Source organism: Homo sapiens, chromosome 16, assembly GCF_000001405.40.
Source record: "Homo sapiens chromosome 16, GRCh38.p14 Primary Assembly".
NCBI classification, from domain to species: Eukaryota; Metazoa; Chordata; class Mammalia; order Primates; family Hominidae; genus Homo; species Homo sapiens.
Window position 1 is genome coordinate 18,317,919 of NC_000016.10, and position 12,607 is coordinate 18,330,525.

Consider the following 12,607-nt stretch of genomic DNA (forward strand, 5'->3'; position numbering starts at 1 on the left):
TAAGGACTGCAGTATTCATTTTATTTTTATATTATTTATTTATTCTTCCTTAGTTTCTTGAGATTATCATCCGCTGAGGGTGGAAGGGGAGTGAGCAGACACACTCAGGAGGTGTCTTGAGATTATCATCCGCTGAGGGTGGAGCTGAGGGTGGAAGGGGAGTGAGCAGACACTCGGGAGGTGTCTTGAGATTATCATCCGCTGAGGGTGGAAGGGGATAGAGCAGGCACTCGGCAGGTGTCTTGAGATTATCATCCGCTGAGGGTAGAGCTGAGGGTGGAAGGGGAGTGAGCAGACACTCGGGAGGTGTCTTGAGATTATCATCCGCTGAGGGTGGAAGGGGATAGAGCACACACTCGGAAGGTGTCTTGAGGCTCAGGGAGTTATCAATTATAGAATGTTGTTGAGTTGGAGGAGGTGGCTGGTGGCCCATCCTGTTTTTTAAAGTTTCAGCTGTGAGGTAGGGCCAGTAGGGCAATCCTGAAGAATGACGATGCTCCACTGCCGCCATTCTGACCTGTAGGGCCAAAGGAGGGAATGTTTTCACACATATTCATTTGATGGACAAAATTACCGCCACCAACACAGTCTGCACCTTCTGTTGCTGGTGATAGATTTTTGCACCTTTCCATCCTCCAGGTTTCAAAATAGCAGTGTCAGTGTCATAATATCACCCTTCCACTGAGTACTGCCGACAGCTAGGGGGTAAAGAAAAGTCATTGGGACACACTGTTGTCTCCACATGCCACTGTGTCTGTCTGCAAATGTAGGCAGGCTGGGGTCCTGCCCCAGGGAAGACAGAGTCATAACAGAGTAATAAAGAAGCATGTTTGAGACACAGGAGTGTCTATGTCTATCCTCATTCCTCCCTCACAGCCATCACCAGAGCATGTTTCTTGCACCAGGTCAATAGACAGTAAGAGACAGTAAGAGAGGCATGAAAAGCCCATTGTCCACACATGTTGCAGCTTCTTTTTGGAGAATGTTTTCCAGGCCTTTTATGTTCTGTCTCTGATTCTCAGAACTCTGCAAGGTCAGTGTGACCACCCTGCTCCAAATCTAAGAAAACAGAGGTTTCCAGAGGAAGGAGAAATTGTGCCCAGGGTCACACAGCTTGCAAGAGGCAGAGTGGAAGTTGATTCCAGCTCTGCCTGCAGGACCCTCTCATTTCCCCTCTGTTTCCCTTCTTGACAAAGGATCTTCTTCACTCTGGAGGTGCCACCCATGAGAACAAAGAGCTCTGGAGAGATGTGGATTCCTGAAGAGCTGCAGGGGAACTGGGAGAGGGTTTTCTGACAGAACAATCTTACCTCAAGAAGTCAGTTAGGCATGGCTGTAATATTTCTTTTCACTCCCAGGTAATACCAAATTGTAAGTGCACTAGGACATAAAGAATACTTTTGTCCATGGAAAAATGAGGTGGGAATTCTAAACAAAGCAAGTTTTAAAACTGTGTTTCACTTCAAGTGTACAAGTCCCATCGCGTGTAATCATAGGACTCGGCAGCTTTTGAAGGTACAGAGGCCACACAAGAACCAGCTTAGCTGAGCATCATTTAAGGCCCTCATTTGGAATTGTCCCTGTGGGTAATAAGTTACATTCACTCTTCACTAATTTACAGTCAGGGCCCATTTGCTATTACAAATACGGAACCTCTGACACTTAGAATATTAGATGGGGGCCCCACTGGGTGGGGATGAAGGTGTTTTTGCGCAACACAGTTACCAACAGGGATGGGACTGTGATGCTTGTAGGCAGCCTTCCTCTCTGCCATCTCCCTCTGCAGGGCTTGAGCACAGAGCCGTAGGGAGAAAAATGTATCCATGTCCTGACCTGGCAGACTATGTCCAAAAGCAAGGAAAACAAGCAAACTTACCCGGTTGCAAAGAGGCTTTCTTGCAGAAGGGGTGATCTGAAAAAGCCAACACATGAGAAATTGAATGTTGAGAGAGTCTAAGGGCCGTGGCATCATCTGCATCAGCACTGAACTATCCTGCAACTGCGGGGAGGAAGCTCCTTACTTTGCATCTGTAGTAGTCCTCTGCCCGCCGCCGCAACGCTTGCGCACGTTGAAACATTTCCCTATGGATTACAATCACTTTCATCAGATAAAGCACCACTTTCAGGATGATTTTAAATAATCTGCCATGTTTCTGTTATCCTCACAACTGTACCCTTACACAATCTATCTCTACCTAGAAAACGTATTTCAGATGGCTAGAAGAGTACAGTCTGAGCCGGTCACGGTGGCTGACGCCTGTAATCCCAGCACTCTGGGAGGGCGAGGCGGATGGATCACGAGGTCAGGAGATTGAGACCATCCTGGCTAATACGGTGAAACCCCGTCTCTACTAAAAATACAAAAAATTAGGCGGGGGTGGTGGCAGGCGCCTGTAATCCCAGCTACTCGGGAGGCTGAGGCAGGGGAATCACTTGAACCTGGGAGGCGGAGGTTGCAGTGAGCCAAGATCACGTCATTGCACTCCAGCCTGGGTGACACAGCGAGACTCCATCTCAGAAAAACAAAAACAAAAACAAAAACAAAAAAAACTGTACAGTCTGATCCAAACTGTTGCTATATTGATTCCTCCTCTTGCTTACTGCCTGCTGACTTCTGAGATGATAGTTTCCTTCCCCATTCTCAGTATATCCCTAATTCATCCTTCATTGAGCATCTTTTATCATAAAGCTGTATTCTCTTTGTATTAATATCTTTACCGTGTTTCACAGGGCAGAAACAGCTGGGCTTATAAACAGGCATAGTCCTTTTGAAGGATGTGGTTGATCCTACAACAACACACTTTCCTAAGGATGACAACAACTCACCCCACCCCTAGAATGGCTGGTATGAACCGAGTTTCCACACAGTCTAGCTGGCAATGGGGTCAGGAGCCGTTTTGCTACTTCACATCTTTTGGTCACTGGTAAATATTAAGGTACTTTGTTTTCTGTTTTGTGAACTCTCTCTCTCTCACGATATGTCTTCTGACCATTTGTTTCTATTTCTGCATTTACTGGGTCTAAACATTGTACAAAGGTTAAAAACAACACTCCAATGGGCGTTTCCCAAGAGGGTGGGGTTCAGTTTCTGAACTCACATGTAGGTGTGTATTTCTTTCATATCCAATTTCCCATTTTCCTCTGCCTCTGACACCTGCCTCTCCTCTTCTCTGTGCTCACGTTCTTTCATGCTTAGTTTCCTCAGACTAGAAGGGAGAGAAATGCACACACATGATCCACCAGCACGTGTGGGATTCCCTCTGCCCTTCTGGCATCTGAAGGCTGTGATTCAAAGATCCCCCCTGCAACCTTCCCACAAATGAACCAACTGATTCTCACAACTGAAGGGAGAATGGACACCTCCCATTGAGGGATAAAAAAAATCACACTCTGGCCTGCTGGCAAGTCACCTGTCATTTCCAGCTCATCTTCATAGTTCCATAGTTAGTCCTATTCTTTAGTAAATATAAAGACTATTAAAAGCTTCTATGAGGTGCACTATGTGCGTCTCTGGGGTCAGTCTTGTGCTTGACACAGCGAAAGCTCATTTTAGTTCAGTGTGAAAAACCAGACCTCACCAATTCATCACAACTAACTCCATCGGAAGCAGAGGATTGCTCCTCATCTGACTCCTCCTGTGTGAGACCTGATTCTCAGTCAGAGGCTGATGCCGGAACTGAGACCATCAGCCATAGAGAGATCCTTCCAGAATATGGTGTCATTAACCCCGCAGTTCACTACTGCACTTTGCCATGATTCAGGACTGGAACTCTTGTCATCGACTTTAAAGATCCTGAAAAGGCAATCTGAATGCTGGGCGCATCTATTGAATTAGAAATGATCGGAATGGCTCCTAAGTCAGGGTGTTATGTCCTGAAAATAGGTGACAACGGCAAACCATCCACCCTGGTGTTGACTGACTTTAACAAGGTTCAATTCACAGAGATTGAGGGCAGAAAAAGGAAACGGCCTCAAAAGGGTAAGTTTGCTGTGTTGCCCTCACACCACTTGATTCATGGTCCTGATCCTAAGGATCTCACCTGATACTTGGTTTTATAGGAAGGATGTGTAAAATTCCCAGAACGCTAGGAAACAGGGACGAAAACACTTCAAAGAGAAAGTTAATGAACTTGTTTCTGACCACAGGGCATCCTTCAGCACATGCTGTCTGGAGTGGCCTCAAACAAGGAGTGTGTGGTGAGGTGCTGACAATGCAATGGGAGCAGGGTCCTGTCCCCACGCTAAAGAAGCTCACAGTTTAATGCAAATGAGAAGCCAGTGAGGACATCACTACTCCTGCTGTGCACTTGGGAACTAGAAACACAAAACCTGACTCTGGAGGGAAGCTAAGGAAGCATTCTACTCTTGAGTTGACATAAGTGCATCTGAAGCTTCTGATCTCCGATGAGAACAATGGGGGACACCAAACAGAATATAAAAACCATGATTGAATACATCAAATTGCTAACATGGCAGTAAACAGACATGAGGTGAAGATGGAGAAGAAGGAAACCCAGGACGAAAGTCAGCCTCGCATTTGGAACCCATTTCCCTGAGTTTCATTGCTGAATTCCAGAAGGAACTACTGAGATGCAAAGAAGCACAGCAGCTTTTGCACACATGCGTGGGGTTAGATGGAAAACAAGTGGATTGAGGGTCTGCCAATGAAAGCGATCCATACTGAAGTCCACTGGCTCTGGTTGAGACCCAGAAGAGTCATGCATCAGAATAGAGGTGGACAGGAAATACCCTGGCCTTTGTAGGGACTGAGCCTGCAGAGACGACCTCAATTGCAGCCTGTACGGAGGACCCCTGACCATCCCCCAGAAGTAGACTCCCATCTCTTCTGCAGCAAGATAACATGCTACTAGGCCTCAATGCATTGTTAAATATTTTTTAAAAAGTATCTCACATTTAACAAAAAAAGATCAGTCATATGGCAGCAAAATACAATGTAGTATGACCAAAACATGAAAGACTGTGAAAATGAATCTGGAGGTGACCCAAGCATTGAATTCAACAATCCAGGCTGGGTGCGGTGGCTCACACTGGGAGGCTGAGGTAGGCAGATCACCTGAGGTCAGGAGTTCAAGACTAGCCTGGCCAACATGGTGAACCCGTCTCTACTAAAAATACAAAAATTGGGCTGGGCACGGTGGCTCACGCCTGTAATCCCAGCACACTGGGAGGCCGAGGTGTGCGGATCATGATGTCAGGAGTTCTAGACCAGCTTGGCCAATATGGTGAAACCCCGCCTCTACTAAAAATACAAAAATTATCTGGGCATGGTGGCATATGCCTGTAGTCCCAGCTACTCAAGAGGCTGAGGGATAAGAATCGTTTGAACCTGGGAGGCGGAAGTTGCAGTGAGCCAAGATCATGCCACCGCACTCTAGCCTGGGTGACAGAGTGAGACTCCGTCTCAAAAAAAAAAAAAAAAAAAAAAAATTGGCCGAATGTGGCGGCACACACCTGTAATCCAAGCTACTCGGGAAGCTGAGGCAGAATTGCTTCAAACTGGGAGGCAGAGGTTGCAGTGAGCCAAGATTGCACCACAGCACTCCAGCCTGGGCGACAGAGCGAGACTCTATCTCAAAATTAAAAAAAAAAAAAAAAAGGCTGGGTGCTGGGTGTGGTGGCTCACGCCTCTAATCCCAGCACTTTGGGAGGCTGAGGCGGGTGGATTACCTGAGGTCAGAAGTTCGAGATCAGCCTGGACAACATGGTGAAACCCCATATCTAGTAAAAATACAAAAATTAGCTGGGCATGGTGGTGGGCACCTGTAATCCCAGCTACTTGGGAGGCTGAGGCAGGAGAATTGCTTGAACCCAAAAGGCAGTGAGTTGAGATTGTGCCATTGAACTGCAGCCTGGGCAACAAGAGCAAAGCCCCATCTCAGGAAAAAAAAAAAAAAAAAAAAAAAAAAAAAGAGAAAGGAAAACCAATGCCAGTACTAGCAACTCCTCTTCCCCTGAAAAAATGACAAACAAGAATGTAGGAAGGGAAAGGAATTATACAGCTTAAACTAATGAAGCAGAAAGGACAAACTCAATTTTGAACCCACTGAATTTGCCACAAATATTGTAGAAAATATTCTCAAGGACTTTACAGTTGTCTACTTTGATTGGCACATGGTTCATACAACAGTATTTGTGTCAAGGCACATCTTACTGTTCTTTGGCGGTCTTCCTCTTTCCATTGATTTTGTCATGACGGTTGACTTTTGTTGTCACCTTCATCTTACGGATTTTAGCTCGAACTTTGGTTTCCACCTGTCTCCATAAAGTAAAGATGTCTTCCAGGACAATTTTAATTCCTGGAAAGGAAGAAACTCTTTTCTTTGTGTGCATACAAATGGACTTCAGCCCTTGGTGAGAGTGAGGAGAGGAGAAGGTGAGAAACCTGAGGGCAAGAAGCTGTTCTTTCCCTTTCCAGGGCAAACTCATTTCCACACTATGGGGACTCCAACAGAGCCATACCTTCCTGTCTACGGCGGTTGGACCTCCTGGCTCTCTGCTGTACATCCGTGGATCCATCATGTCCATTTTGAGATGGGAAGATAGTCTTCAGGAAAGACACCTAGGAAATAATAATATAAGAATGACGGCTGGGCACGGTGGCTCATGCGTATAATCCCAGTACTTTGGGAGGCCGAGGCAGGTGGATCACGGGGTCAGGAGTTGAAGACCAGCCTGGCCAAGATGGTGAAACCCCGTCTCTACTAAAAATACAAAAATTAGCCGGGCATGGCAGTGGGCGCCTGTAATCCGAGCTACTCGGGAGGCTGAGGCAGAGAACCGTTTGAAGCTGGGAGGCGGAGTTTGCAGTGAGCCGAGATCACACCACTGCACTCCAGCCTGAGCGACAGAATGAGACTCTGTCACACACACACACACACACACACACACACACACACACACAAAGAATGACATGAGGCTGGCAGGGTGGCTCACTCCTGTAATCCCAGTACTTTGGGAGGCCGAGGCAGGCGGATAACCTGAGGTCGGGAGTTTGAGACCAGCCTCACCAACATGGAGAAACGCTGTCTCTGCTAAAAATTCAAAATTAGCCAGGCATGGTGGTGCATGCCTGTAATCCCAGCTAGTCGCGAGGCTGAGGCAGGAGAATCACTTGAATCCAGCAGGAAAAGGTTGTGGTGAGCTGAGATTGTGCCATTGCACTCCAACCTGGGCAACAAAATTCAAACTCTGTCTCAAAAAAAAAAAAAAAAAATAGGCCAGGTGCTGTAGCTCACGCCTGTAATCCCAGCACTTTGGGAGGCCGAGGCGGGTGAATCACAAGGTCAAGAGATGGAGATCATCCTGGGCAACATGGTGAAACCCCGTCTCTACTAAAAATACAAAAATTAGCTGAGCATGGTGGCCCACGCCTGTAGTCCCAGCTACTCGGGAGGCTGAGGCAGGAGAACTGCTTGAACCCAGGAGGCAGAGGGTGCAGTGAGCCAAGATCCCACCACTGCACTCCAGCCTGGTGACAGAGTGAGACTCTGTCTCAAAAAAAAAAAAAAAAAAAAATGACATGAATATACTTCACACAACTGAACTGTACACTTCAACACGGTTAGATGGTAATTATCATCTTGTAAGTATTTTACCACAGGTTAACATGTTTCACAACTTGAAAAGGAAGTAATTAATTACCTTCAGCTCTCTGAGTTCTAGAATTTGTAACATTTCACCCCCTGCTCCTTCCTGATCTGCACTGGAGCATCTTTCTTCTGTCCCTGCTCTACTCAGAGTTCACTTTCCCTTCCCTCACATCAGCTTCGTTGAGGCTGGTTTGAACTTAACGCAAAACATTCTCACTAATGACTGAATTCCCACCAAGATTTCCATATTATCACAGTATGCTTTTAATCTTCGAAGATATTAAATATTTGTTCTCATCATAGCTAAAATGCAATGCAAATCCCATCTCAGATGTGGGTCAGATACCTATGAATCTCCTGAGGTAGTCATTGAAATGACTTTTTTCTTGAGACGGAGTGTCACTCAACCATGCTGAAGTGCAGTGGCACTACCTTGGCTCACGGCAACCTCCACCTCCCAGATTCAAGCGATTCTTGTGCCTCGGCCTCCCAAGTAGCTGGGATTACAGGTGCCTGCTACCATGCCTGGCTAATTTTTGTCTTTTTAGTAGAGATGGGGTTTCACTATGTTGGCCCATCTGGTCTTGAACTCCTGACCTCAAGTGATCCACCTGCCTCAGCCTCCCAAAGTGCTGGGATTACAGGCATGAGCCACCACACCTGGCCTGAAATAATATCTTTCAAATTCTTTGTAGAACTTGTTTTTTCCTGATTTCTGCACATAGGATTAAAAAAAAATCATGTACTAGGATTTCAAGAGAAGCAATGGGTAATCTAAAAAGATGAAAAGAGCAACCACGTCTATCCCACAGCTACTGCTAGATTTCATAGGAAAGGTAGCTGGCCCAGTTTGGAGCTAGGAGAAATGTCAAACACATGAAGAAATGAGAAGCAAAGAAATGCCATCACACATGAATGCTTCATGGCACCCATGATGTCCCTGCTTAGGAGGTAATGGTATAGATGACTAGATGACAAGGACAAAGATGAGAGGTGCAAAGTTGTCCAAGTCCAACAGCTCAACTGAACTTTCCTAAATGGAATTGTTAAAAAGTGGTAAATTTAAAAACTTCCCCTGGCTCACGTGGTGACTCACGCTTGTAATCCCAGCACTTTGGGAGGCTGAGGCGGGTGGATCATTTGAGGTCGGGTTTTGAGACTAGCCTGGCCAACATGGTAAAACCCCGACTCTACTAAAAATACACAAATTAGCTGGGCATGGTGGTGGGCACCTGTAATCCCAGCTACTTGAGAGGCTGAGGCAGGGGAATCACTTGAAGCCAGGAGGTGGAGGTTGCAGTGAGCCGAGATCACACCATTATACTCCAGCCTGGGCAACAGAGGGAGACTCCTCTTGGGGGTGAGAAAAGAAAAAAAAAAAAGCTTCCTCCAATTTATACCGAAAATTCTCTGTTCAGGACTAAGTGGCATAGAGAATGTTAAATGTGCCTAGATATCTTCATAACTCATATATTTTCTGTTTTCTACATATCTTGAAAGGCAGTGCCAAATGACGTGTAATTATCTAGGCGGTAAAACTGAAACATACTTCCTCTTCCCTTGAATATAAAAAAGCATTGTGGTTTAGTACTTTTATCTTGGATCATTGTTCAGAAGGAGGTTCAGCCCCCACACAACCACATTTTTATTGTCATGAATGGCAAGACAAAATGTAGAGCTCAACTTACGCAAAGGATAAAAGGCTCAAAAGACAAATTATGGCACAACTTAGCAGCCAAATTCTTACCAAGTATAGACTTTTGACATACTGATCTCATTCCAGTTGCAAGTGGGAACATGCACTTTGAATGATGTCATTCAAAATTACCCTGCCCAGACACACTTTTCATTGATTCTCTTGGAGGGCAGTTCTAAGAGATTCTCTGGGGCTTTCTCTGCATCATGAGACGCAGTGCAGTTCTGCCCTTCACCTTCCGGCAGTTTGTCACCTCGTCCCTATGACCTCAGAGGAACTTTGTCTCAGGCCAACTGTTTGTTCCTTGGGCTCTTTCATTTCCCCTAAAAATCATTTGCTGCCCCTCTAAATGGCCTACATCTCCATCTATCTCCCTCTACCCTCAGAAGAGGGTGCTCTTTAAGCATCAACCATCCAGCCCTTCTAGCAGTCTCATTTTTCAGCTGGTTCCCATGTTTATGCCTGTTCTATGTTTTTCTTTTCCTGTTAAGCTGTCTGTTGTCAGCTCATTTCTGCAGTGAATCTTCAGAGAGGAGATTGGAAGCTTTCCTTCCACCCATACGATAGAACTATAAAGCAGAAGAGTTTAGAAAGACTTTCCCATTTAAGTGACGAAATCTCATACTCCATTTGTGACAAATAGCACAAAGGTTAAAAAAACTTATTTTTGACCAAAAGCTCTGTTGACATTCTATTAAACACCGACCTATTTAATTTTCATAATGTAAATGGCAGATATTTTCATAATTCTTATGCTAATAAATCATTTCCCTGATTTTTTGGGTAAAACCACATATTCATAATGAAGTCCAGAAACGTGAATTGTTTCATATAATTTATTCTTATTTGTGATTACAAGTATACCTCTACAGAAAGTTAGTATACTCACACAAAGGTAACTTGTGCAGAGGGAGATGGCAAATTTATAACTTCTCAGAAACACAGTAATGATAAGTAACCAAGGACTTCCACCAAAGTCAGTCCCACGATGACGATGGTCAGCCAGAGTATTGATAACCTGGAATAATAATAGTTGAAATAATGAAAAGGTCAATGACACTGACAATATTTCACTCAGAAAGAATCATCCTTAGAAACCGTCAACCTCCTCCAAAAGGTAACCACATCCCTCAGATATCACCGTGGGATTCCACTGCTACAAAAAAGAACAGAAGTTAGAGAAGTCTCATGTTTTTCAGATGGCTGGTAGTGTTTTTAGGCATTGCAAATGTGGGGTGTTGTCTTTCTTGGTATAAAGCAGGGATATCCAATCTTTTGACTTCCCTGCCTATATTAAAAGAAGCAAAGTTGTCTTGAGCCACACATAACATACACTAACACTAACAATAGCTGATGATCTAAAAAAAAAAATTTTTTTTTTTTTTTTTGAGACAGAGTTCCGCTCCACTCAGTCGCCCAGGCTGGAGTGCAGTGGTGCAATCTCGGCTCACTGCAACCTCCAGCTCCTGGGCTCAAGCCATTCTCCTGCCTCAGCCTCCCGAGCAGCTGAGATTACAGGTCTCTGCCACCATGCCCGACTAATTTTTGTATTTTTAGTAGAGATGAGGTTTCACCATGTTGGCCAGTCTGGCCTTGAACTCCTGACAGGCGATCTGCCTGCCTCGGCCTCCCAAAGTGCTGGGATTACAGGTGTGAGCCACCGTGCCCGGCCATTTTTTTTGTTTTTGTTTGTTGTTTGTTTTTGAGATGGGGTCTCACTCTGTCACCCAGGCTGGAGTGCAGTGGTGTGCTCTCGGCTCACTGCAACCTCTGCCTCTCAGGTTCAAGTGATTCTCCTGCCTCAGCCTCCTGAGTAGCTGGGAGTACAGGTGCCTGACAGTGCACTCAGCAAATTTTTGTATTTTTTGTGGAGATGGGGTTTTGCCATGTTGGCCAGGGTGGTCTCGAACTCCTGACCTCAGGTAATCTGCCCGCCTCAGCCTCCCAAAGTGCTGGGATTACAGGCATGAGCCACTGTACCTGGCCAAAATCTCCTAATGTTTTAAGAAAGTTTACAAATTTGTGTTGAACTGCATTCAAAACTGTCCTGGGCCACATGCAGCCCGTCACTCATGGGTAAGACAAGCTAAGTATAAAGTAATTATCTTATCTTTTATTTTTGTTTTGAGACAAAGTCTTGCTCTGTCACCCAGGCTAGATTGCAGTGGCATGATCTCAGCTCACTGCAACCTCCGCCTCCCGGGTTCAAGCGATTCTCCTGCCTCAGCTACTGAGTAACTGGGATTACAGGCGCCTGCCACCACGCTCGGCTAATTTTTGTCTTTTTAGTAGAAACAGGGTTTCACCATCTTGGCCAGGCTGGTCTCCAACTCCTGACCTCATGATCCACCTGCCTCGGCCTCCCAAAGTGCTGGCAATACAGGTGTGAGCCACTGCACCTGGCCAGTAGTTATCTTTTCTTTAGTTATTTACTTGTTTTTTAAATTGATGTATAATATTGGATGCATTTATTATATATCACATGGTAAAAGAATCCCTCTAAATAATACTTCTCTCTTGGATTATATGAATCTTTGTCATTTAAAGCTCAGCATAAGTAAAAAAAAAAAAAATACAATGAAGAGATTACTTCATTCACAAATAAGTATCGAATTTTAGTTCTTAAAAAGTAACAAGGTGGGCTGGGCGTGGTGGCTCACGCCTGCAATCCCAGCACTTTGGGAAGCCGAGGTGGGTGGACCGCGAGATCAGGAGATTGAGACCATCCTAGCTAACACGGTGAAACCCATCTCTACTAAAAATACAAAAAATTAGCAGGGCATGGTGGCACGCGCCTATAGTTCCAGCTACTTGGGAGGCTGAGGCAGAAGAATCACTTGAACCTGGGAGGTAGAGGTTGCAGTGAGCCAAGATCGCACCACTGCACTTCAGCCTGGGTGACAGAGCGAGACTCTGTCTCAAAAAAAAAAAAAAAAAAATTACCAAGGTGGAGATCATGAAAATGGCATGAATAGCGTGGGATTTCTCTAAGATTGTTGATATTAATTCCATTAGACTCTTATGTGAGTGAAGACGAAGACTTCCCCTGAGTAAGTTCAGACAGCTTCTGATAACATTTCTACATCGATTCCTCAGGATTTAACTATATATTCTTGAAAACATCTCAATTTTAAATGTTTCTTTCAAGATGGTGAATTAAACAGAGATAGCCCTTCAACAGGTTGAACTCAGCATATGCTGAGTCTGAAATGGAAATGATGGAGTTAGAGAACCGTACAACAATGGTAATGATTTCAGAAACATGGTGTTGAGCAGAATAAAGCAGACACAAAAGAGTACC

The 12,607-nt window shown here is 45.0% G+C and overlaps 1 protein-coding gene and 1 pseudogene across 2 annotated transcripts in view; both read right to left on the reverse strand.

The window, feature by feature from the left end:
* PKD1P4-NPIPA8 (PKD1P4-NPIPA8 readthrough) overlaps positions 1–12,607 on the reverse strand; it is a 34,527-nt pseudogene continuing 21,920 nt past the window's right edge. Inside the window, exons 29-35 of the transcript NR_146336.1 lie at positions 10,196–10,324; positions 6,481–6,580; positions 6,173–6,317; positions 3,099–3,206; positions 2,022–2,082; positions 1,877–1,912; positions 1–517 (exon numbers count right to left, since the gene is read on the reverse strand). The product of NR_146336.1 is annotated as a PKD1P4-NPIPA8 readthrough (transcript). The remainder of the gene's footprint in view (positions 518–1,876; positions 1,913–2,021; positions 2,083–3,098; positions 3,207–6,172; positions 6,318–6,480; positions 6,581–10,195; positions 10,325–12,607) is intronic.
* NPIPA8 (nuclear pore complex interacting protein family member A8) overlaps positions 1–12,607 on the reverse strand; it is an 18,818-nt gene continuing 6,211 nt past the window's right edge. The window contains exons 4-10 of the mRNA NM_001282511.3: positions 10,196–10,324; positions 6,481–6,580; positions 6,173–6,317; positions 3,099–3,206; positions 2,022–2,082; positions 1,877–1,912; positions 1–517 (exon numbers count right to left, since the gene is read on the reverse strand). Coding sequence (NP_001269440.1) covers positions 50–517; positions 1,877–1,912; positions 2,022–2,082; positions 3,099–3,206; positions 6,173–6,317; positions 6,481–6,580; positions 10,196–10,324 — 1,047 coding nt within the window. The 3' untranslated portion in view covers positions 1–49. The remainder of the gene's footprint in view (positions 518–1,876; positions 1,913–2,021; positions 2,083–3,098; positions 3,207–6,172; positions 6,318–6,480; positions 6,581–10,195; positions 10,325–12,607) is intronic.